General features: G+C 40.3%; 1 protein-coding gene across 2 annotated transcripts in view, besides 1 other annotated feature; it reads right to left on the minus strand.

The window, feature by feature from the left end:
• SPMIP2 (sperm microtubule inner protein 2) overlaps nt 1-26,962 on the minus strand; it is a 189,752-nt gene that overhangs the window by 153,222 nt on the left and 9,568 nt on the right. The window contains exons 1-2 of one of the 2 annotated variants that reach the window (XM_011531672.4): nt 25,312-25,534; nt 20,728-20,797 (exon numbers count right to left, since the gene is read on the minus strand). In XM_011531672.4, coding sequence (XP_011529974.1) covers nt 20,728-20,770 — 43 coding nt within the window. In that variant the 5' untranslated portion in view covers nt 20,771-20,797; nt 25,312-25,534. Of the gene's footprint in view, nt 1-20,727; nt 20,798-25,311; nt 25,535-26,962 lie in introns of those variants that run through there. The other variant, XM_011531671.3, reaches the window with a different exon arrangement.
• Nucleotides 25,222-25,516: a silencer, noted in NCBI's record as "tiled region #3178; HepG2 Repressive DNase matched - State 8:EnhW, and K562 Repressive DNase unmatched - State 23:Low". NCBI's record gives its function as "represses a minimal TATA promoter and a strong SV40 promoter by Sharpr-MPRA in HepG2 and K562 cells {active_cell/tissue: HepG2 | K562}" and the evidence as "EXISTENCE:reporter gene assay evidence [ECO:0000049][PMID:27701403]".

Genomic DNA, 26,962 nt, shown 5'->3' on the forward strand with positions numbered 1-26,962 from the left:
CGTGTTTGCTAGAAACAAGTTCACAAAACCCAGCTCACATTGAAGGGGAGGGCATTACAAAGGGCATGAACAACAGGAGGTAGGGATACAGGTTACAGGTAGCCAATGAGAAGTCCTCAGCAGCACTGGGAGTATTTTAAGAGCAAGAATGTTAAATATTGAACTTTCAGTTTTGGTGTTTTTTTGTTTGTTCATTTCTTGTTTTGTTTTTTGTTTGTTTGTTTGTTTTTTTACTGAGACAGAGTCTTGCTCTGTTGCCCAAGCTGGAGTGCAGTGGCACAATCTTGGCTCACCGCAACCTCCACCTCCCTGGTTCCAGCGATTCTCCTGCCTCAGCCTCCCAAGAAGCTGGGACTACATGTGCATGTCACCACACTCAGCTAATTATTCTATTTTTAGAAGAGACGGGCTTTCACCATGTTGGCCAGCCTGGCCTCGAACTCTTGACCTTAAGTGATCCACCCACCTTGGCCTCCCAAAGTGCTGGGATTACAGGCGTGAGCAACTACGCCCAGCCCTTCAGCTGTTTATAGTGCTGCTTCAGCCTGTTAAGCATCAAAGCTGACTCTATACAACCCATCACATGGTGGAAGAATGATCGATCCATAAGAGGTGTGGTAAGGCGGGGTTGATGGACAGAGAGTTGGAAGTTATCCAGACTTTGACCTTTGGTTGCCTCATTCTTTCATTCCTGTATTCTTTGAGGCCTTTTAGAGCACTCCACTTCAGTGACCATGACTTGATCAGTTTTGTTAGACCACTTATGCTCTGGAACCTAGCATTTAGAAAAGTTAAAAATATTATTTGTGTTTTTCAAAAAAATCTAATCTTGTGCATTTTATAGTTTTTAAAAAAATTATAAAAAGTAGATTTTTATACACAAACTGAATAATCAACTTCTAAATAAATTTGCTCCAAAAAGTTACTTAATCCTAACAGAAAAGGAAAACCCCATACATATATACATTTATTTGTGTCTGAAACCATATACTCATCTATTTAAGCAAGACTTTTCTTGATTAATTTTGTATTTAAAAAATTTCCTGATTCTTTATATTTTCTCTGATTTTAAGGGCAAAATTTATGCTAGATTTTAAATTAGAAACATTCTTCTCATTCCTGCCTTGTTCCATTGATTGATTAAATTTTTTTTTATCTCCTAGTGCTTATCATACATGCTTAGAAAACACAGGGTTTCCATCAGTCATCTATCTTGGTTGCTTTATCTGTTGAGTCATAGTCACATTGCCACAGATTCTTGGTAATCTGAAAAATACCAAGATGCTCTTAGATAACTGAAAACCCCAGCGAAGTAGTATTTCCTGCGCTGTACCAAACAAGCTCTGCAGAAAAGTAACTAGGCTGGAGCCAGTAGTTGACAGTGAGGTTGCCCAATCCCAGTTCTATGGAGAGCCCTGCCTCTGGGTCTACACAGCACAATGGAAGAAAGACAAAGAGAATGGCCTGCCCCACTACCTGCTCCTCAGTGGCCTGAGATTCTGTATAATCTGAAATAAATCTAAATGAATAAGAAGACGGGGTTTCAAATATGTGAACCATGATATGATAGCATGTAACAGAATGGCATGTAATAGAGAAAGCACAAAGAGGGAAAATAAAAGAGCTCCTGCTCCCAGTCTTTAGAGATGAGGATGCTTACCGCGTGCTGGTGTGCTTACCTTCCTTCAGAGATGATTGTTCATGCTTTTAGCGATGTTTTGCAGTCTGTAAAGGTACTGTTTTGCCTTTTTGCCTTTCTCTAGGCCACCTGAACTCGCTTAAGTAATCATACCTCCTCCAAAGCATGGTATTTGAGAACAGACCTGGCCTCTGTTTCAGAAGGACATAATTGACCGTTTTGTGTAAGCACAAAAGGGGGTGGGGTAGGAGAGCTTTCCCGAGCCTGTGCTATCTCCTGTTGAAGCCCATTTGTTAGCCTCGTAGGCAGGGCGCGCTGGAATGCCTGGCAAGTGCAAGTACAGTGAAATGCCGTCATTGTGCTGCTCTCACGGCGCATGTTTTCCCACGTACAACATTCAAAATGTTCAGTTCCCTGGAAAATGTTCTAAAGAAGTTGCACTGTATTAGGCTTTGTCTTCTCGTCTTTCACAAAGGCAGACAGCCCTCTGTTGAGAACAGCCTTTCCATAGGCATTTCTCTTGGCTCAGAGCCACATGGACGTAACCTAGAGCCACCGAGCCACAAGAAAATCTTGGACCAGAAGCAGGGGGAGGGGACGCTTTGCACGGTTTTTCCTCCCACATTCAATATACACAAGGATCCCGAATTGAAAATGCCTATCAGTTTGCAAAGGATGATATTGTCAAAGAAATTTGTTTACAATGATAACTAATAATTTTTTCTCTCCCCTTCCACTTTTTTTTTTTTTTTTTTTTTTTGAGAGAGTGTCCCTATGTTGCCCAGGTTGGACTCTAACTTCTAGGCTCAAGTGATCCTCCTGCCTCAGCCTCCAGACTTAGCTGGCATTACAGATATGCGACACCATCCTAGGCTTAATAATTATTATTTTTTAAAACCTGAGATAATTTACTAAATGATATAAAGTTAAAATTTTTTTTGAATCGGAGTATAAAACGTGGGCTTTTAGTTGACATAATGTAATTTGAATGACTTAAAATATAGATGTCAAATGTTAAGGTTATGTCAGGTGCATTTATTATATTTATTAAATATTACCAATTCTGATTTTCATAGAAAGAAAATAAAAGAATTCTCTATTGTAAATTGACAAAAAGATGGCAGGGATTTCTGAGAAAACACTGTCGAGAAAGATAAAGCAACGTCAGTTTGTGACATTTCAGTGGATTCTATCTTCAACACAGATTAGCTTATTATTTTTATTTAAGTAAACAAGAAGGTCCAGCTGGACCAAGTAAGCTCTCGTATTTTTCTGTTCTTTCGCTGCACACAAGTCTAAGAATTGTTAAGAATTGTTTTACTGGTTTCCTAAAAGCACCACAATAGCTTTGAAAATGGTTGAGAAGATGTAAGAAAATAGTCTGAAACATATAGATGAGATCAAGATTCGCAAAGATTGATTAAGGGATAGAATGCAAACCAAGTGATTTTTTTAAAAAATTCTTATTGATACATAATAGTAGTATATATTTTTGGGGTGCTTCTTTTGATATACGCAGACAACGTGTAATGATCAAATCAGGGCATTTAGGATATCCCTCACCTCAAACACTTGTCATTTCTTGGAAATATTCCAAAGCTTCTCTTCTAGCTATTTTGGCAAATCAAGTGATTTTAAATACAATCACTTGTTTGATTTCAGCTTAGGATTTTCCATCAACTTTTCTTAAAGGTATTTATTCTTTAGAATGTTCTGAATTTTTATGATTCGTTAAGAATATTGATCACCTGTTCTCAATTTTTTTATACAAGGTTAGAATCCACTTAAAATGAATTAAAACCCATATGATTTTTGTGTCTGTCTGGAAAATAGGGTTTGACTTCCACAGATGTCATAGAGAGCTCAAATATATACTGCATTACATCACTGATATTGTAGCTGTCACAGAAGAGAGAAAAAAATTTGGTACTGGAGATGTCTTGGTAGAAAATGAGCCTTAAAGCTTCTTGATAGATATAAGGCAATCTCTTGATAACATGTCAAGTAACTTAGACGTTACTTTTAAAAATGTGCATTGCTAAAAGGTGCCCGTTAGTGTCAACACATATTCTCTGGCCCTGGGCTGCTCTTTTTGACCCTGCAGGGGAAGCCATGAAAATAAAGTGAATGCTGGCATTAATCAAACCAGTCTTTATTTTGACAGCATTTGGAATTCATTCTTCTCACTGGGTGGTACTGCCACCACTGTATTTTTTTTTTTTTTTTTTTGAAATGTGCTTCCTGATAACTACTGTCAGGCTTGAGAAGTGGACAGGTGTGACTCCCTAACTTGAGGACAGGCCTGCTGTATTGAAAGGGAAAAGAATGGAAAGGGAGGTGTGATAGCATTTTTAATAAATATGTCTGCAATTCATGATAGTGTGAGTATAATATAAAAAGAAGGGAGGGGGAAGAAAGGGGGATGGGTTAGGAGTAAGGATCACCATATCCAGTAACAGCCCAGACTCAGAGAGCCTTAAGATTGGATAAATGTAAACAGCATTTTATTGTTTAAAATGTTAAGATAGCCAGGCATGATGGCTCACACGTGTAATCCCAGCACTTTATGAGGCTGAAGCAGGAGGATTGCTTGAACCCAGGAGTTCGAGACCAGCCTGGGCAACATGGCTAAACCCCATCTCTACAAAACATAAAAAATTAGCCATGGTGTGTGCCTGTAGTCACAAGCTACCCAGGAGGCTGAGGTGAGTGGATCACTTGAACCCAGGAGTTCAAGGCTGCAGTGAGTTATGATTATAACACTACATGCTAACTTGGGTGACAGAGCAAGAACTCATCCGTTAAAAAAAAAAAGCTATAAAAAAAAATCTTGGCCAGGCGCCGTGGTTCACGCCTGTAATCCTAGCATTTTGGGAGGCTGAGCCAGGTGGATCATCAGGTCAGGAAATCGAGACCATCCTGGCCAACATGGTGAAACCCCATCTCTACTAAAAATACAAAAATTAGCCAGACATGGTGGCGGGTGCCTGTAGTCTCAGCTACTCAGGAGGCTGAGGCAGGAGAATCACCTGAACCCAGGAGGCAGAGGTTGCAGTGAGCCAAGATCGCGCCACTGCACTCCAGCCTGGGGGACAGAGGGAAAGACTCCGTCTCAGAAAAAAAAAAAAAAAATCTTAAAGATGTTTCCAAAAAAGTGCTATTCTTTGCATTTTCTTACAGAAACATAAAAGCAAAGTGGCTGTATAACAGAGTAACCAGAGTTTTGGTAAATGTGGTTTGAATTATGTTCAGATGAATGCAAAGTGATATGTTTTCTGGAAAAGGTATCTAGCACATAGCTTTTTTATTGCTTGAAACTGCTTAAGATTTCACATGGACTTTTGGGGGGAGCTTCGTCCTTCTTGAAAATCTAATACCACCAGACTGTAAACTGCTCAGAAGAAAGGATTACACCCACCATTTCCCATGCCTCTCCCCACAGTGCCTGGTACTTCGTACACAATAGAAACTAAGAAATATTGTGTCTGAATTACTAAAGCGTCACATTCAAAGCACTTTCATTACCAAATGCAAAGCAGAGACCATTTATACTATGGTTATTTCCAAAATCTCTTGCTGCTAATTAATGAACTCTTATCTGTCATGAGATGTAACATCTATTTAGAATGATGGAAATAGAATTTCTCTCTTTCATTCTTTTGTCATTCTCATTCTACCATTCATTTATTTCTTCAATAGCAAACACATTTGCTTTTTATTTATTACTCAGGTTTTTGCTCCTAGCATAGTGAAACTGTCTGCAATGTCAGAAGAGATGTGTTAAGCTCTGGTACCCAGCTGCGTGCTGAAATATAGTAAACGACTGGCATTCTTATCGCAGTTTCTGTGGCCTATTACTCTTTGTTTCATTACTGTTTAATATTTACTAAGAGTGCTGTCAGCTCCTGCGCTTTCATTTCCTCTCCTTCACAGGCATCTCCCCCTCCTTCCTTGCTCTTCCTTGCCCTGCCCCCACACCCTCCAGCTACCTACTATCAAGCTCACTGGAATTCTGGATGCTAAAAAAAAAACAAAAACAAAAACCAAATTTCCCTTGCCATCTTTCATTTGCAAGATTCCCCCCAGAAAGTGCAAATGATTCGGATGGAGGGAAGCAGACAAAAGAGATGAGTTCTCCAGGCCAAGTACATAGAGCTAAAGCAGACGTCTCACACTGACGGCCAGTGTACCTAGTTCGCACAATGTTTTGATTTCTTTTTTTTCCAGATGAACCAATATCAAAATATCAGGCCTTGTGTGCTAATAGAAATGTCCAAATTCTCTTAAAAAATTGGAAGACCTGGACCTACATTCCTGCATGGTAACAATCAGCTACAGCAGAGTGTCCCATGCTCCATGAGTTAAGTAGACCCTGAAAACAACAACAACAACAACAACAACCAGCAACCAACAACCAACACAACCCCTGCACACGGTAAAAAAGATTTATCTGCTCAGATGCCACAAACTCTGCAACTAGCCAGTTGTGCAGGGTAAAGCCGACTGAAACAGTGAGAAGTTTTGTGGTTGGAACTTGATTCCCCTGAGGCTCCATCTTCTCTTCCGTAGATGGGGTAGTGATGCTGCTATCTGTCCCCATGGGATTATCTCAAGACTATTATTATTATTATTATTATTTTATTATTATTATTATTTGAGGCGGAGTTTTGCTCTTGTTGCCTAGGCTGGAGTGCAATGGTGCGATCTCGGCTCACTGCAACCTCTGCCTTCCAGGTTCAAGCCATTCTCCTGCCTCAGCCTCCTGAGTAGCTGGAATTACAGGCGCCTGCCACCACGCCTGGCTAATTTTTTGTATTTTTAGTAGAGACGGGGGTTTCTCCATGTTGGCCAGGCTGGTCTTGAACTCCTGACCTTAGGTGATCTGCCTACCTCAGCCACCCAAAGTGCTGGGATTACAGATGTGAGCCACTACGCCTGGTCGACTATTATTATTATTATTATTTTTTTTTTTTTTTTTTTGAGACGGAGTCTCGCTCTGTCGCCCAGGCTGGAGTGCAGTGGCGGGATCTCGGCTCACTGCAAGCTCCGCCTCCCGGGTTCACGCCATTCTCCTGCCTCAGCCTCCCAAGTAGCTGGGACTACAGGCGCCCGCCACTACGCCCGGCTAATTTTTTGTATTTTTAGTAGAGACGGGGTTTCACCGTTTTAGCCGGGATGGTCTCGATCTCCTGACCTCGTGATCCGCCCGCCTCGGCCTCCCAAAGTGCTGGGATTACAGGCGTGAGCCACCGCGCCCGGCCGACTATTATTTTTTAAAATATGATTTGAGTGACAGTATCGACTACATGGCTGCTAGTTTTTCTGGGTTCATTCTTTTGGGTTAAATGGTATCTACTTGATGCTCCCCCTTTTAAAATACAAGCATACACGGATGGGTAATATATTGAGTTACAAATGCACCTAGGTTGAGTTACACCTAGGAGAATACAAGGATGGCTGTGGGCCGGTAGGGTCCCCTAGCCATGAACCCCACACCTCACATTCTTAGTTTCCCCTAGCCCGTGCCTTCCTATTTTAGGTCTCTTCCAGGATCTTTTGGTGCCTTCTGAAAACTCAATGTGTGTTTTGTTTCTGAGTTCCCTTCTACCACCCCATCATTTTAAGTCATTCCTGGGAGATATGGACCTTACTAGTCCATTCTGTAGGAGCCATTCTAAGCAGACTGAATCCATGGGTGGTATAAGGTTGGCAGAGATTTCCCTTCCTTCTTTTCTTCCTCCCTCCCTCCTTCCTTCCTCTTCTTTCTTTCCTCTTCTTTTTCTTTCTTTCCTTCAATTAGAAACAAATCCAAGACTGAGCACAGTGGTTCATACCTGTAATCTCAGCACTTTGGGAGGCTGAGGTGGGAGGATTGCTTGAACCCAAGAATAAACCAGGCTGGGCAACATAGTGAAACTTGTCTCAAAAAAAAAAAAAGAGAGAAAGAGAAAGAAAAGAAAATAAACAAATCCAGATTTCAGCAATTCATTTTTTAAAGAGATGGAATCTTGTTTTTTTGCCCAGGCTGGAGTATAGTGGTGCAATCGTCACTCACTGCAGTCTCCTAATGCCTGGACTCAAGCAGTCTTCCTGCTTCACCTCCTCAGCCTCTGAATAGCTGGGACTACAGGTGCATGCCATTACACCTGGTTAATTTTTTTTTATTTTTGTAGAGACAGGGTCTCACTATGTTGCCCAGACTGTTCTTGAACTCCTGTCCTCAGGTGAACCTCCCGCCTTGACCTCCCAAAGTGTTGGGATTACAAAGTGTTGGGTGGTTGTGAACCACGGTGCCCAGACTATTTCAGCAATTTTTTTCCAATTAGTTTATCATTATTCCAGCTCAAGTCTTTCCTTAAAAATCATATCATAATGACCTCCCCTCCTCCATCTTGCATGGATGCAGGAAATGTAGCCCTAACTCCTAGGATTTCTGAGAAGCCAGGGATCATGTTGACAAGTTCCACAAGCCCATTTTGGCTGCCACTGTCCCCTCTCACTCCCCACCACACTGGAAGCCTTTTCCTCCATCACCTCTCGTGCTCACACCTCTCCCCAGTCCACTTTCCTCCAGAGCACAGACACGTGCTTCCCTCCTATCCCTCAGTGCACTGCTAACAGAAAGCCATTGTCTTTAACATTCTTCACTGGATGGTGGGCGCTACACACAAAATGGAAAACAACTTGAGACTTCAGTTTTTAAAACTTTGCTCCTGAGGACAGTGGCCATCCCCTTTCCAGACCTTCTCCTGCTTGCCTCTGTCCTCCACCAGCTCAGCTGCTCAATGCACTATCTTTCATGGTCTTCCTCCCCAACCCCTCCCACCCTGCCCCTTGCCACTCACATAGAAAATGCTTCAAACCATAATAATCTCTGCAGCATGTGCTCTGCTCCCACTGGAGTCAGCATTTTTAATCATTAAAGACAATATCGAGCACCCCAGGCTGAAGCAGCTGTATTTAACTTATTCCCCCCATCTGAGGCTTCTGCAAGGAAGTCTGCATGACTTATAACTAGAAAGCCTTATCAAGGCCCCCTGCCTGTCCTAAAGACGTCCTTTAAAGCCATCAGAAATATTGGAGGCTGGTGTCAAAGCTTTTGGATGCTTTTCTATTTCTGGAGAGATCTCAAGGCTTCCTTAGACCTCCTTAATAAGAGCAGGTTATAAGGAACTACCTGAAGAATTCAGTGACAGGAAAAGCATGTATTGAACCTCTACTGTCTATGTATCTGTGGCGCTGCCTGGAGAGACATAGGGTGCTCTATAAGTGTTTGAGGACACCACCTGACTCTTTTCTTTTCTTCTGTGTTTTGAGAATTTACAAATGTCATGGGAAACTGAACCATATGAGCAAAACTCAGCATGCAGAAGCTTTAGCATTTGTAGTCTCTGTTGCCACAAGAACTTTTAAAAAATGAAAAACAGGCCGGGTGCAGTGGCTCACCCCTGTATTCCCAGCACTTTGGGAGGCCAAGGCAAAGCAGGCAGATTGCTTGAGTTCAAGAGTTTGAGACCAGCCTGGGCAACCGGGCAAAACCGCATCTCTCCAAAAAAAATACGAAAATTAGCTGGGCGTGGTGGTGTGTGCCTGTAGTCCCAGCTAATTGAGGAGCTGAGGCTGGAGGATCACTTGAGCCCAGGAAGTTGAAGCTGCAGTGAGACAAGATTATGCCACTGCACTCCAGCCTGGGTGACAGAGTAAGACCCTGTCTCAAAAATAAATAAATAAATAAATAAACAAATATAAAAAACGAAAAACAAAAACACGAAGAGTGAGGCTGATGTGGTGAACACTGATAGCAATTATGTTCTGATAGGGTTTTGAATTTCAGGGTGGATACTAGGGAAATAGGGGGTCCTTCTTCCCTGAGGAGTGTGCGTTTTTAAAGCAAAGGATAAAGAAAGCTTTTACTGCAAAGCTTGGCCTCCAGCTCACAAATGTAAATGTATGCCACAGATACTGAACAATAAGTTATTCACACCTGTGTCAAGAGAGGAGGAGCCGCTTGTCTTAGCTTCAGACCTTACCATGCTCAAAATGATAACCAATGTTCCAACACCTCCCCCTCCTCCCAGTTCCTCATTTCCTTTTTCACTCCCAAAGGTATGTTGTATTTCATTTGAAAGTGCTTAGAGACTATAGCAATATGCACTATATAAATAATAGATGGAATGCAATAGAATGGAAATAGTCTTGGACCCCTGACTTTGGCTTACATCCCAAAACAGACAGATTTAGACATGCAAACACTGTTTCTTTGACAGATTTGTTCTCTTCCCCGCTTTCCTTAAAGCTATCATTTCATTTACTTATTCAAATTTTTGTATGCCTGTTTGGAGGGTAGGGGAAGTTCACAGTCTTCCACCTCTATTGTTCACGGTGGATGTGCTGAGTGTGGAATGTCAGTGCATATAAAATATAAAAAAATAAAGGCAGAGGAGGGAGAGCAGTAGAAAAAAGCATAAAGTATAAGACAGAATTAAATAAAACCAACAATAAACAGTTGCTTATTTTTTGCCAGGTATTACATCAGAGTGATGTAGGGATACAAAGAACATCGAGGCATGGACTTCATTTCCAAAGGACGTGACTCTTGCATGCAGCAAACTAAGATAAATGCTAGAAGGAGATGGTAGTGCATGAGGAGTTTGTTTTAGTAGGAGAGATCAAGCTGGAAAGGCTTCCTATGTAGATCTTCTATAGGATTTTGAAGATGTGAAGAACAAGAATTTGATAGGGAAAATAGAATGAGCAGAGGTACAGAAACAGAAAAGCAACAAGTGGGGTGGGGATCCATGGGCTGGAGTAACAAAGGCTGAACCCAGATTAAGGAGGAAAGAAAGAAAGGAATTCACATGAAGTAGGCCGTTCATTCTATGCTGAGCTTCTTCAAATGAATTCTCATGTAATCTTCTAAACAGCTTTGTAAAATAGATACTATTCTTCTCCTTGCACAGATAAGCAAAGTGAAAGGTTAAATATTAGCACACGGATGGGACTTGAACCCAGGTCCTCTGACTGCCCACCTTGTCCCCCTGTCAGGGTACAAATGTTCTGTGCATTTTTTCTATTGCCTTAGACCCCGGATTTAGGATTTGGAATTTATCTATGGACAATGGGAGCCACTGAAACTCTTTTCAGCAAGGGAGATACACAATTAAATCAGAAAAGAGAGAACTATCATTAAAATGATCAGTTTTTATCAAAGGGCCTCTTTAGAGGGCAAGGGGCCCAGATGGGACAGTTAGCAGGCAAGGAACAGTAGCTCTCATTTCGTGACTGCCCTTTTAATATATCTGGCAACTGATCATCTGATATAACACTTTAGATCATTGTCTAATAGTCTGAAATTAATCTGAGTTTTTTTATAATCTAATGTGTGCAGCAGCTACAGTACATTTTTTCTCCCTTTATTTGGTTCCCAAAAGATTAATTACATCAAGGACACCTATTCCAAATTTAGTACAAATTAAAATCACTGAAACATACAGTGCTAGAGCACTCATGCATGGCTGATGGTAGAGAAATCAGAAGAATCACTTGGAAAGTAATTTGAAACTGTAGATCAAGTCTCAAAAATGTTCATTTTTGAAAATTTTTATAAAGAGAGATTTCAATTGGAGAAAATGTGTGACCAAATATGTTTATTGCCTCATTATATAATAATAGAAAATAAATGGCATGTTTACCAAATAAAATATTATAAATGTATTAAAATGAAAAACATCAGCAACGTGTCAGAATATAGAAATATTTATAAAGTAATGTTATACAAAAAATTTTGAGTACATGATTATAATTTTTAAAATCATCACATGTATTAGTAGCTACAGGAGAGTAAAGTAGAAAATGGCAATTGTAAGTTGGTTGTTTGTTTGTTTGTTTGAGACAGGGGCTCACTCTGTAGCCCAGGCTGGAGTGCAGTGGTGGGATCTCGGCTCACCGCAGCCTCAACCTCCCAGGCTCAATCAATCCTCCCACCTCAGCCTCCCAAGTAGCTGGGATCCGAGCTGCATGCCACCATGCCTGGCTAATTTTTGTAATTTTTGTAGAGCTTTCACCATGTTGCCCAGGCTGGTCTTGAACTCTTGGGCTGAAGTGATCCACCGTGTAGATCTCCTAAAATGCTGGGATTATCAGGCGTGAGCCGCTGCACTAGGCCAGAAAATGGCAATTGTATTTGCTGGGCTTTTTTTTTTTTTCTTTAAAATTCTTGTTACGGTTGTTTTGAACATTTTTTAATAGTATTATTTTCTAAATGTCATGTCTGCAGGCAGAAGCAACTAGGGTGAAAGGGGACAGGAAATCCATCACCAAGAACAGCAATATCAAATCACAATGTGCAATTTTTATGCCAAGTACTAGCAAAAGAAATAGTTTTTGGTTATATATTGTTTTGTGTTGCCCTTGATTACTGAGTGTTTATATTGTTAAGCCAGAAGTATTTGACATTGAATGAAAGGAAGATATGGGACTTCTTTTCTTATAAAAATGTATGTCATTTTTATAATTGGTAAAACATTCACATTATACTTTTTCAATTGTGTACATCTTCATCTGTCTGAATAGGTTTAAGGGCAACTCTACCTAAAGGCAAATAAATAGATAAGAGCTCTGAAGTCTCTTTTAAAAGGTGTATGGTTCTATGACTATCAATCTAGAAATTCACAGCTATTACAGGAAAAGAAAGAACATAAATAGCTACAAAAGAAATAATGGAAGCATGGGTAAAAGTGGCTTATTTCTATTTAAAAGCATAATTATAATATTGAGAATAAGATACCTTTTTTATTTTAACTGGCACATTTATGAAAATGAAATAATACAAGAATAACTGTAATAATAATATTTTACAAAGCACTTTCATACCCATTATCTTTACAGTTTTACATAAAGTAAAATACTGATCCACAAATGGCATGTAATTCCTACTTTAATTTTAGGATAACTATTATAATGAAAATACAGTAGGTAAAAAAATCTGAGTGCAAATGTCGTTGTGATAGGTACTTGATAAAATAATTCACCTTGAACATAGACACAATCTGTGAGAGCTTAAATTCTAAAATGTACAGCAGGAATGCAGACATATCATAGGATGGCTTAGTAAAATGAACAAAAACAGAAAAGACAATAGCACAAGTTGAAGCATGCTGGTGGTTAGATCCATAGGAGCTGCAAAGTATGAGATGACATTTCCCTGTGCCATGGGACTCTATACGAGGCTGGGGGTTGAAGTCTATTTTTGTCCCAGACCCCAGAAAGCAAGTTTTTCTAAGGTTCTGTATCCTAAAATATGAATGTGAATTTAAGAGTGATAAAATATGGAATCAAATATTTTTAATGTACTATAGAGCAGATAGAGTTTATTTTATTTAATTTATTCATTTATTTTTTGAGACAGTCTCACTCTCACCCAGGCTGAAGTGCAATGGCACAAATGTGCCTCACTGCAGCCTCCATCTCCTGGGCTCAAGCTGTCCTATGGCCTCAGCCTCCCAAGTAACTGGGGTTACAGGTGTGCACCACCAAACTCAGATAATTTTTTAATTTTTTGTAGAGACAGGGTCTTGCTATGTTGCCCAGGCTGGTCTCAAGCTCCTGAACTCAAGGGATCCACCAGCCTCAGCCTCCCAAAGTGCTAGGATTACAGGTGTGAGCCACCACACTCAGGCTGAGTTAATTTTAAAATGCAGGTGAGTTTTGTGAAGTGATCCCTGGGGTATTGGAAAGGAGATAATGTCTGAACAGGGAAAGAAGAGCATCAAAGGATTAATTGATGAGACATGGCAGGCTGACTCCTAAAAAATGAGGCAAAGGCCTGGAGCATGCTGTCCTTCCCCATGAGAGGGATGTGGATGCTCAGGGGACTGTGCTTGGCTATAGGGGCTGACCTCACGATTCTTTGGGGTGAGAGAAAGCACAGGGGCCAAACACAAGAATGCTTTCCAGTCATGGGGAGGCATATGCAGCTCTAAGGCAAAGCAGCAGAAGTCCCACCAGGCACTCAGGGCACAGAATGGTGAGTCCTACCGTGGATGGGGTTTCCAGGACTCCTGGCATACCTGACTGTTGTGTGCAGTGCACCAGCCATTGAGTGGGCCGAGTGAATTTCCAGTAGAATTCTAATATATCCTGAGGTTTCCAGAATAGGAACCAAGACAGATTTCCAGTTTTACCAGCTGGGTCAGATAAGAAAATTGACTCAAGAATTGGAACTTTAGTGAGGAGTTCAATTACCAGGATTGGACAAAGAGGGACACGGATTCAGAGGCCTAGTGGGGAGGGGAGCAGCACTGCTTCCCTGCCAGTCCAATAATACTAAGTTCCAAATGAGGTCATTGTACTTGCTGCCAACATCAGGAACTAAAGTGGCGCCCAGCCTAGAGTGGCAGCCCTGGACCTGGCTGTTAAGGCAGATGTAATCTACTGTCAGTGGAGTCAGAAAACAGAAGTTTAGTGTTTAGAGCTGGTGACTACACAGGAAAAATGATTGTTTCCCAGACACTGGAAGAGTGTTAGTAACGATGGTGGCCTGAACACAGAATAGTAGGTAAGGATGGTGTACGCCAGGAAGATAAAGCATTTTCTGATAGTTGTAGGTTGAAGGAGCTATGGTTAACACTTAAAAATCTGAGAGGCTTTGAGGTGGCCAGAGAGATGGAGACCACAGTGTCATCCTGGTGTTTAATCCTGTACAGAGCAAACTAAATGCCATAAACCCTATTTGTGAAATAGCTTAACCTTATGTAAATTCTAATTTTAAATTACCATTCATAGAGTAGTATTAAGTATATATAGCATAGGCTGGGTGCCGTGGCTCCCGCCTATAGTGCCAGCACTTTGGGAGGCCGAGGCAGGCAGATCACTTGAGCCCAGAAGTTCAAGACCAGTCTAGGCAACATGGCAAAATCCTATATTAAGAAAAAATATATAAATTAGCTGGCTGTGGTTGCATGCACCTATAGTTCCAGCTACTTGGGAGGCTGAGGTGGGAGGATCACCTGAGTTCAGGAGGTCAAGGCTGCAGTGAGCTAAGACTGCACCACTGCACTCTAGCCTGGGCAACAGAGTGAGACCCTATCTCAAAAAAAAAAATATATATATATATACATATATATATATATGTAACATAGCTGAATACTGACTATGGTAAACAAATTGGAGGGAAAGGAATATAGCCAGAAAACAGCAGAAAAAAACCTGGAACCCTGAAGTTTGGCCTCTATTGGAAAAACCTCACCACCCTCACCTCACACACCTTCAACTGTGAGAGCTGGCCCCAGTCCTGTATTTTTGTTCCCTGTCCCCTCATCACCTTCAGACCCAATGCCTACAGTCCTCAGCCCACCTTTCAGAAAACACATGTACTTGCCTTACCCCGAGACCAGGAACACTGTTGGCCCTTCACTGTATCCTGGGACACTGGTTCATGGTGGGTGGGAGACACATGGCATGGGCGCCTCCATTTATCCTTTGAGCCAAAATGATGGTTTGTAAAGAAGTGAACACTTAAAAGATAGAGATGGGCTGGGCATAGTGGCTCACACCTGTAATCCCAGCACTTTGGGAGGCCGAGGCAGGCGTATCACCTGAGGTCAGGAGTTCAAGAACAGCCTGGCCAACATGGTGAAACCCCATCTGTACTAAAAATACAAAAAAAATTAGCTGGGGGTGGTGGCACATGCCTGTAGTCCCAGCTGCTTGAGACACTAAGACATGAGAATTGCTTGAACCTGGGTGGCAGAGGTTGCAGTGAGCTGAGATTGCACCACTGCACTCCAGCCTGGGCGACAGAGCGAGACTCAGTCTCAATTAAAAAAAAAAAAAAAAGATAGAGCTGAAACAGCAGGAGCACCATGGAAACTGGAGGCTTCCCTCTGGGAAAACTGCGAATGTCTTATCCCTGCTGGGGAGAGCATGGCAGTACTGAGTGATAGCGTGAGCACCAGCAGCCATCCATAGTGATGGTATAAAGGTTGGCAGTGACCAGAGAAACCAGCAGCAGTGGGAACAGTACAGCCTTGTTTGCAGGAGCAATGAGTGACTGTACAAATGCCACGTGTGTGTCGGGAGCTAGACCTCAGCAGAACCTAACTGGCTGCCAAAAAGAGACAGGACTACCATGGGACCCTACCAGGGGTTAGAAGGAGGGGATGTCTTATCCCCGATTCCACTGTGAGCAGCTAAAAAGCAGAGACTATTTTCATTATTTTTGTAGTAGTTACCTCTTGATTGTTCCCTGGCAGGCTGCCTAGAAAGCAAGGGTTACATAGATTTGAAACTAAGGTAATTGGCTTTAGTTTTTATGTTAATTGCTTTAATATTTTTCCTTTATTACTACTATGGGCCACTATTTTAAAACACCTATCATATGCTAGCCATTATGATGGAATGGGTATTTACATATATGTAAAAGATTTAACTATGCCCCCTTTTCAGGTAAGATAATTGACTCTCAGGAAGATTAACTGAGACTTGAACTCAGGTTGTGGTGCCTAGTTTCAAAACCCAAAGCTTCCCCACATTCCATTCACTCTTTCTTTTAACTCTTACTGTGTAAAGTGAGGTTTCAAAACCCTTTATCACCTCACCTGACTCTTGACTAGTCTTGAAAGCTTCTTGTGATTTCCTGTCTACAATGTTGATCTGTTTGCCCCAAGTTCATTCAGGCTGATTGCATTTTTTTTTGAAACAGGGTCTCTCTCTCTCTCTCTCTCTCTCTCTGTCACCCAGGCTGGAGTGCAGTGGCACGATCTCAACTCACTACAACCTCCGCCTTCCAGGCTTAAGCAATCCTCCCATCTCAGCCTCCCAAGTAGCTAAGACTACAGGTGTGCACCACCAGGCCTGGCTAATTTTTTTTTTTTTTTTTGTAGAGGCAGGGTTTTTGCCATGTTGCTCAGGTTGGTCTCAAACTCCTGGGCTCAACGGATACACCCATCTCAGCCTTCCAAAGAGCCGGGATTACAGGCATGAGCCCAGCAGGAGTCTGATTGCATTTTTAAATGGTCTCTATCTCAAATAAGTTAATAAGACAGACTGTATAAAGACACTATCATTTGGTGTAAGTTTAGTTCTATTTACTCAACCTCACAATGATAATTACAGAATAAGATGTTAGGGTGGCTTCACAATACAGTTTCAATGCTTTCATTTTAAAGACCAACAAAAGAGAAGACACTAAGCAAAAATAGGAGAGGCTTACAAAATTAATAAAACCTCCACTGACTCAGTAGGTTATTTAGCTCACTGTGTTCTAAAAACAAACTTATCTTGGGCCGGGCATGGTGGCTCACGCCTGTAATCCCAGCACTTTGGGAGACCGAGACAGGAGGATCACTTGAGCTCAGGAGTTCGAGACCAGCATGGCCAACATGGTGAAACGCCTTCTCTATAAAAATTAGCCAGGTGTGGTGGCACATGCCTGTGGTCCCAGCTACCCAGGAGGCTAAGGCAGGAGGATCACTTGAACCCGGGAAGCAGAATTTGCAGTGAGCTGAAATCGTGCCACTGCACTCCAGACTGGGCAACAGAGCAAAATCCTGTCTCAAAATAAATAAATAAATAAATAAATAAATAAAAATAAAACAATCTTTAAGAGACTGGTATTTTCCTTGGCTCTTTTCATTGAGAGTTCATTCCTAAAGCTTTAGTTTTTATTTGTTTATTTAAGTACTTACAAGGATAATATCAAAAGACGGCCGAAAGCGTGTTAACTTTGGTATTTGTAATTTATCACTATATATTATTAATGAGTTGATGAATAAATAATGAATAGTAAGACGAACAGAGAATATTTTTTGAATCAACAAAATTGGTTTGAGCAATGGTTACAATGGAGTGATTAATGTTCAGTGGCTCATGGGTTTGCATTCTTCATATTTACCAGGGTAAAAGGATCATGTGGAGCCAGAAAAACGTATGAGGAAATTTTAAGATACTTCAAAGGAATTGTTTCTAAAATCTTTCTAAAAAAGACATGTAGGGAAACAAAAACAATTTATTAGTAGCTTTATTGCTGTTCTCTCTCAATGCTCATTTTAATGTTCAAAACAAATCTCTTGGCTGGGCGTGGTAGCTCATGCCTGTAATCGCAGCTACTCAGGAGGCTGAGGCAGGAGAATCACTTGAAGCCAGGAGGTGGAGTTTGCAGTGAGCTGAGATGGCGCCACTGCACTCCAGCCTGGGTGACAGAGTGAGACTCCATCTCAAAACAAAACAAAACAAAATAAAATAAATGTCTCCATTTCTTCCACATCTTCCATTTTATTTTTATTTATTATTATTATTATTTTTTTAAGACTAGTCAAGTGCAGTAGTGAGAAGAGGAGAAAGAGTAGAACAAGGAGTTTGACTATGAACAATCAGTTGACATAACTCATCACCTTCAGACTAGCCAACATCTTCCATTTTAATGTGAAAAATAGCAAGCCAAGTAGGCTAGAAAAGGATTACTAAGTAAAATCACATTTCCGATGTCAGTAATATTCTTGAAATTCTTCACTGTTTCTTGTTTGAAAGAAATGCAGATGATTCGTATTTTTCCTCTTACTCAAAAATGGTCAACAAGATTGCTTGAAAAAGCATCACCGTATTTCATGTTAACTTTTCCCCTAACACTTACAATGTCTATGGTTTCCTCTCCCAAATTCTATTTTAATGTCTGAAAAATATTAAATACCCCAAATTTTGTGAAAACTACATTAATTATTAAAAGTTTTATACATATAAACTTTATATATGCATATATTTATATGTTTTTAAATCGTTTTCATTAAAAGGCCTTAGTCTAATTCCATTGAGACTACTGTCTGTCTTTCACCTGTGAAGTTGTATAGATTTTTTAAATCAATTTCCACATATGGAAAGAATACACATGTGTATTGAGGGAATAAAAGGAAGCATTGATTATCTCTCAACTCATATTAATGTAACCCAACATTGAGTTTTCTATTTGGTTCCATAGCTTTGCATTAGTAATGCATGCAGTTATTTGCAAACAGAATTCCACATTCCCTGGGCAGAATGGTGACGGGGAAGATGCATTTGGTCAGGGGACCTTTTAGAGAATTTCACATTATACCTGTTCACATAAACTTACTCACATACATTTGCACTTTTATTTTGAAAGACCCTTGAGCAAAGATGTCTTGCTAGTTCCTCTCTATGCAGATTTTCTTTTAGAACTCTAGCTGCTTTTGAGTATTTGACAATGAATAGAGACCAAATGGCAGCACCTATTTTGAAGGAAGAGATGGGGTAGAATCTATTCTCCATCTTCTAAGTAAATGTTCTAAATAGCTAGACAAGTTCACCATAAACTAAGTTTCATACCATAAGGAAGAGTACCTTTTCATCAGCCTTTCATATTAAATAAAATTGAGACTTTTGAAATATTTATTCATTTAGGCAGTTCTTTAAAAACTATTTTTCTTGGCTGGGTGTGTTGGCTCACACCTGTAATCCCAGCACTTTGGGAGGCCAAGGCTGGCAAATCACTTGCAGTCAGGAGTTTGAGACCAGCCTGGGCAGCATGGCGAAACCCTCTCTCTACAAAAAATACAAAAATTAGCCAGGCGTGGTGGCATGCATCTGTTGTCCCATCTACTTGGGAGGCTGAGGTGGGAGGATCTCCTAAGTCTCTCTTCTCAGAATAAGGTAGTTGCCATGGAAACAATGACAATGACTAAATTCAACTAGAAACATTGCCTGTTAAATATGCCACATACATACAGTTCTTTCCTTCCTTCAAAGTAGAGAGAAGTCATCTGGAGAGTGGGTAACAATCTTAAGACATTGTAATACACTCACATTGATTCCAAGAGTCATTGAGATTTTGCTATATGTCAGACCTATTATCCCCATTTTATAGATAAGAAAGTTAAGGTTATGAGAAGTTAAATAACTTTTCCAAGGGTCACATAGCTAGGATTCAGAATGAGACATGTCTGATATCAGAGTCCTCTCTGCTATGTGGCTGCCAATCATTTGTGGCTATGTATGTGTCTTTACTTCCCTCATTGTTCACTTCTTTCTCAAGCCTCCTAAATAGCTTCCACTTTTATAATTCCACAGATATTGTCTAATTCAAAATTCTAAAATTGTTTGGGCAAAATGTTGCAGTCCTCCAAGATTCCATTTACCTTTTACGCAAATTTCAATTCCCAGAAATATGACATATTACATAACTTGAGAAACATTTTGCCATAAAACACTATGAATGCTGGAAAATAACTAATGCATACCTGACTTGTAAGTGATATCTGCAGGGGACAAAAATGAAGAGTGGTGAGTATTGGAGTTATGGATGCTGCAATCCTATGGAAGATGTGCTGGTGCCACAGGGAAATATGCTTTGTTAGATCTAGGGGTGTGGATTTCAATGCCCTCAGGATATACGACTGAGTCCTGGGCTCACGCAAGACAGAGAGCTAAAACCAACACCTCTGCATGAATTCAGAACCTTCAAAAAGCTATGTCCTTAGTGAATGTGTGGAATGTATGTATGTGTGTGTGTATATATGTATGTATGTATACATGTATTACATATATCCTATATATGTATGGGATGACATACGTGTGTGTATTTTATATATATATATATATATATATATATATATAGTATTAAAGGGTTGAGTAATATATATCTCAACCCTTCTCATTAACACTTGAAGTCAACAAAGAAACTTGTCAGTTTGGACCCTCTGTGGAAGAAAACAGTCTCTCTTGGGAATTTGTAACCTTATATCTGCTCTTATCCTGGCTTAGGATTTGAATTTATACCAGGGGTTGGCAAATATTTTCTGTAAAGGGCCAGAGAATAACTATTATCAGCTTTGTACACGTAGGCTCTGTTATAGCTATTCAGCGCTGCCTTTGCAGAGGGAAGGTGCTGTAGGCAATGTGTAAACAAACGGGCATGTTTGTGTATCAATAGAACTTTTATAAAAGCAGGTGGTGGTTTGTTGATTTACACTATCTGCATGGGCCAGGAACCTGTAAGTCAAAAAACTGATCCCAATAAAAATTGGTCTTTCACATATTTCTGAATATAAAGCATACAAGAAAGCAGTACAGCATACCTGAGAGCCAGCAGACATGGGAGGAATGGGTTCCCCAGGACATTCAGATAACAGAACGACTGGATAGGAACTATAAAATAAACATAAATGTGATTAAGAACATAGAAAGACTCTAAAGTGTGAGAACAGAATGAGAATCTATTTAAAAAAAAACCAACATATAGGTTTGAAAGGAATAATTAAATAGAACTTTTGATTTTTTTTGAGATGGAGTCTCACTCTGTCACCCAGGCTGGAGTGCAATGTCCGCCTCCTGGGTTCAAGCGATTCTGCCTCAGCCTCCCAAGTAGATGGGACGCCACCATGCCCGGCTAATTTTTGTATTTTTAGTAGAGGTGGGGGTTTGACATTTTGGCCAGGCTGGTCTCAAACTCCTCACCTCAGGTGATCCACCCGCCTTGGCCTCCCAAAGTACTGGGATTACAGGCGTGAGCCACCATGCCCAGCCAATCAAATGAACTTCTATAAATGACAAACAAAAGTAATTGAAATTAAGTATCAATAGAAAATTAGAAAAAGAAGACTTCATGTCTAAAACACCAAAAGCAATGGCAACAAAAGCCAAAATTGACAAATGGGATCTAATTAAACTAAAGAGCTTCTGCACAGCAAAAGAAAATACCATCAGAGTGAACAGGCAACCTACAGAATGGGAGAAAATTTTTGCAACCTACTCATCTGACAAAGGGCTAATATCCAGAATCTATAATGAACTCAAACAAATGTACAAGAAAAAAACAAACAACCCCATCAAAAAGTGGGCAAAGGATATGAACAGACACTTCTCAAAAGAAGACATTTATGCAGCCAAAAAACACATGAAAAAAATGCTCACCATCACTGGCCATCAGAGAAATGCAAATCAAAACCACAATGAGATATCATCTCACACCAGTTAGAATGGCGATCATTAAAAAGTCAGGAAACAACAGTTGCTGGAGAGGATGTGGAGAAATAGGACACTTTTCCACTGTTGGTGGGACTGTAAACTAGTTCAACCATTGTGGAAGTCAGTGTGGCGATTCCTCAGGGATCTAGAACTAGAAATAGCATTTGACCCAGCCATCCCATTACTGGGTATATACCCAAAGGATTATAAATCATGCTGCTATAAAGACACATGCACACATATGTTTATTGAGGCACTATTCACAATAGCAAAGACTTGGAATCAACCTAAATGTCCAACAACGATAGACTGGATTCAGAAAATGTGGCACATATACACCATGGAATACTATGCAGCCGTAAAAAATGATGAGTTCATGTCCTTTGTGGGGTCACGGATGAAACTGGAAACCATCATTCTCAGCAAACTATCACAAGGACAAAAAACCAAACACCCCATGTTCTCACTCAGGGGTGGGAATTGAACAATGAGAACACATGGACACAGGAAGGGGAACATCACACACCGGGGACTGTTGTGGGGTCGGGGGAGGGAGGAGGGATAGCATTTGGAGATATACCTAATGCTAAATGACGAGTTAATGGGTGCAGCACACCAACATGGCACATGCATACATATGTAACAAACCTGCACGTTGTGCACATGTACTCTAAAACTTAAAGTATAATTAAAAAATAAATAAATAAATAAATAAAAAATAAAAAAATAAAAAAAAGAAAAAGAGCAGAAGTGAGACTCAATGAGCCAAAACTGACAAAACTACCCATAACTTGGAGAAAGGAAGAAATGGAAAATAGAAAAGGTAAATTGGGATGGAGAAGAAACCAAAAAGACATATTATTTACAAAGCAATGATAATTAGAATTGTAGTCTAACTTGGTGAATCTTCCACTTGAAGTAAAGTAGATCCTTTTGGGAGCTACCTCTTTAGGGCTAATAATGCAACATCTCTGAGCACATCTTTCATCTCCTAGATTACCTCTTATGTTGGTTCCTCCTAGAATTTCTTTTCTTCTAAGAAACAATTAGGCTGGGTGCCGTGGCTCACACCTATAATCCCAGCACTTTGGGAGGCTGAGGTGGGTGGATCACCTGAGGTCAGGAGTTCGAGACTAGCCTGGCCAATGTTGTGAAACCCCATCTCTACTAAAAATACAAAAATTAGCCAGGCGTGGTGGTGGGTGCCTGTAGTCTCAGCTACTCGGGAGGCTGAGGCAGTAGAATCTCTTGAACCTGGGAGGCGAAGGTTACAGTGGGCCAAGATCGTGCCACTGCACTCCAGCCTGGGTGACAGAGTGAGACTCCGTCTCAAAAACAAACAAACAAGAAACAATTAAATCCTACTTCAGATCCTTTTCACTTTCTCTTAAAAATGCTTCTGAAATTAAATAATGCTAGAAGTCTTTAGGAAGTATGAATTTAGGTTTTTAACTTGTTTTCTTTTTTCTTTTTTTTTTAAGAGACAAGGCCTCACTCCGACACCCAGGCTGGAGTGCAGTGGTGTGATCATGGCTCACTGCAGCCTCAACCTCCCCAGGCTCAAGAAATCCTCCTACCTCAGCCTCCCAAATATTTGGGACCACAGGCAAGTGCCACCACACCTGGCTAATTAAAAAAAAAAAAATCTTTTGTAGATATGAGGTCTCCCTATGTTGCCCAGCCTGGTACTTATTTTCTGTAAATCATGAACATACCTTGATGCAATATTAACATTTTTCTCATACCCTTTAGAAACTCCTTTGTACATGATACATATTTTTTTTTCTTCAGTTCTTTTTTATTCCTAATGAAGCAAACATCTGGGATATTTAATACAAAGTGGAGCATTCTTGACTAACCATTTAAATATTGTCTCTATTTTGTTAGACTCTGACATTAACAAGAATGGCTTCCACCTGTCTCTCGAAGTCTACTGGAAGGCTTTGGAATCCTAATAGCAGAGATTGCATATTTAGTGCCACAGAGAACTAAGCATGTAATATTTTAAGCACGTTATTGTAAAAGAAGGGAATGACTAGTAACCTCTCGCAAAGTACAAGAAGGAGGTGGTACACTTTTTTTTTTTTTGTAACAACAATTACTCATGACAGAAGGACTCAGATGGGGAAAAGGACAGATGGTTCTTATTACACCCTGCCCCTAACTTGAATTACCATTCCCTACCATAAACAGAATGTGCCAAAACTGTAAGAGAAAAAATCATGAGATAAAAATCTGCAATATTTTGTGCCATCGAGTTGTTTAAAACCACAATGTAATGACAAGTACATTTAGTGAATACAGTGAAGTCAGAAAATCTTTTGCCATAATAAACATCAACAGTCATCAAGTATTTAATTGATTCAAGGGTAATATATACACTGGCAAGTGATTGAATGTAAATACGTTTTAAAGTGAATTTTTAAGTTTCCATCATATTGTCTAGTATAATCTTTACAACTCCACTGTAAGCTTTTGTTGCTTTAATAGTTCACTAAGCTTTGACCTACACAAACTAAACTTTTCTGAGTGGTGATTAAGTTTTAATGCCAGATGATGCCTAGACATTTTCAAATGTAAAGATACACATATGGTTTGGAAGAGCCTTAAATTATTAATATCAACCAAGTGGTAGATAAGGAGAATATTTTGCTAACTTTGGAGGTATTTCTTACCTCCTTCACACATAAGTCTTATTAGATTGTCCTCAATATGGCAATCTGTAATGTAATACTTATTAGAGAAGAGTGCTGTGAAATGGAGACATGCTTTTTATCACTTAAATGTATGCAGACCCATATACTCAGAATTTTCAGGATTCTGAAAGATATGAGTGAAAACTTGTGTCAGAGAATATATGTTTATGTGGCACTTATTTGGTTTTATGAATGTTTTAGAGGGAAAGTTGCCAGGCGAGAACTCATCCTCTAAGGACGCTTGATAGCATGCTGGAACCATTCGTTCTGGATCTGCGCCAAGCCTCAGTGGTCAGCAATGATGATGAGCACTATTGGCAACATGATTTTCAGAAAGAACAATCAAAACAGATTCTGTTTGTTGCCCTGTGGATTGGTTCCAAGAAACATCTTTGTCTCTGGATGATCAAAGCATGGTCTGATAGGCTAAGAATGCAGTAATTGTTATAATTAGCTAATAATTTTGGAGCAAAAAAAATTATTAGTGGCTGCTAACTCGTTTGCATGCTAATGTTTTTGGAGGGAGGGGAAAATCTTTTGAGGCTTGACATTTAAAAAATGGATCTGAGTTAACTTTTGGCAGTAGTTGTTGTTAGAATAATATACAGGAGATTGTATTTAGGTGATGCCTTCAGAGAATCCTAAAAGGTGGCTGGTAGAACCTGTGTGTGGTTTCTGGTATCTCAGGTAAAGTTGTCCAGAGTGAGCTTCCTCTTGAGGACAAAGGACAAGAGGAAGAACAGGAGGAGCCTTGGATTTACAGATTCTACCATTTACTCACAAGAATAATAAAAATTCAAAACACCTGCTGTCTCTCAGGATCAAAAAGCAACACAGCGATTTCTTTTAAACAAAAGCAAACACAGGGCAGCAATGAGAAATTCATTATGAAAGAAAATGAAGCAAGTATCTGGACTTGGGCCCTTCCCAAGCCCTGAAAACTAAAGTCTGAACATCCTGATAGATGAGTCACTGCCTCCTTCCTGCTAATGTTTGTACCTGAGAATTCTTTTTTTTCTTTTGTCACCATGAGGGAAAGAATTCTTTTTTCCTGTTGGCTCAGTAGAAGAGACTGGAGGATTCTACTCCAGTTTCTCAAGCTGTGGAGTTGTGGTGGATGATGATGTCAGAAAAGAGAGAGAGATTCCAAAATCCTGGGTTGCAGGTTGGAATTTGACTGCTTTCCCACAAAAACAACAGGGAGCTAGAGTTCTTTGGTTCAGCTGCCTGGGGGTTAGTAGACCTGCAAGGTCCTGCTAGGAACCTAACTACCATTTTTAGCATTGTTTCCATAGGAATTTTTTCTTCTAAGTTCCAAATGAATTCACAAATACCTGTTTTAGAAGTAACAATAGCAGTTAGAGCCAGACATCTGTGGCTCACCCCTGTAGTCCCAGCACTTTGGTAGGCCAAGGTGGGTGGATCACTTGGGCCCAAGGAGTTTGAGACCAGCCTGGGCAACATGGCAAAGCCCCCGCTATACAAAAAATACAGAAATTAGCTAGGTGTTGTGGCGCATGCCTGTAGTCATAGCCACTCAGGAATCTGAGGTCAGAGGATCACCTAAGGCTGGGAAGTAAAGGCTGCAGTGAGCTGTGATTGCACCACTCACTCCAGCCTGAGTGATAAAGTGAGACCCTGTCTCAAAAAAAGAATAAAAGAAAAATATTAATAGAAGTTTGTAGATTGAGGACAACTTGGATTTGAATGTCTCCTTTGTGTTTATTTCTTGATCTTTTCTGTTATAGTGTTTTAATGATGCTCATTGTTAATCTTATGAATTCTTTTTTTTTTTTTTTTTTTTTTGGAGATAGGGTCTCACTTTGTCACCCAGGCTGGAGTGTGGAGTGTAGTGGTACTAACATGACTCACTGCAGTCTTAACCTCCTGGACTAAGCAATTCTCCTGCCTCAGCTCCCCGAGCAGCTCAGATTACAGACACGCACCACCATGCCTATATAATTTTTGTGTTTTTTGTAGAGATGGGGTTTCGCCATATTGCCTAGGCTGGTCTCAAACTCCTGGGCTCATGTGATCTACCTGGCTCGGCCTCCCAAAGTGCTGGGATTATGTTAATCTTATGAATTCTTTTTTCAGTGTCCCAAATTCTTCAGAGAAACTACTTCGCCAGTAATAATATAATTGCTCTAAAACTAGATTTAGAATATTAATGAAAAGATGTGCTTTGATAAGTATAACAAAACATGGTGAATTATGCTGGCTTCCTATTTTTTAATTGTAGGAAGGTAAACTATTATTAATATTTATGGACTATTTCCTATCTTTTCAAAGGTTTTGTTAGTCTCACAATGCTGCAGCCAGAGAAGTAGGTGACATGTATTGTTAATGCATATGCAAATTATTCTAATGGAGTGTAATCCCATTTGTCTTTTGTGCTGTGTTTGTGCTTTTTTGAATCCACACAATGTCACACCTATGGAGGGAAGCTGTTCGGTTTAGGAAGAATACATTTTCTTTTTCTTTTTCTTTTTGTTTTTGTTTTGGAGACAGGGTCTCACTTTGTCACCCAGGCTGGAGTGCAGTGGCGCAAACACGGCTCACTGCAGCCTCGACCTCCCAGGCTCAAGTGATGCTTCCACCTCAGCTCCCCAAGAAGCTGGGGCCACAGGCGCACGCCACCATGCCCGGC

The sequence above is a fragment of the Homo sapiens genome, chromosome 4 (assembly GCF_000001405.40).
Source record: "Homo sapiens chromosome 4, GRCh38.p14 Primary Assembly".
NCBI lineage: Eukaryota > Metazoa > Chordata > Mammalia > Primates > Hominidae > Homo > Homo sapiens.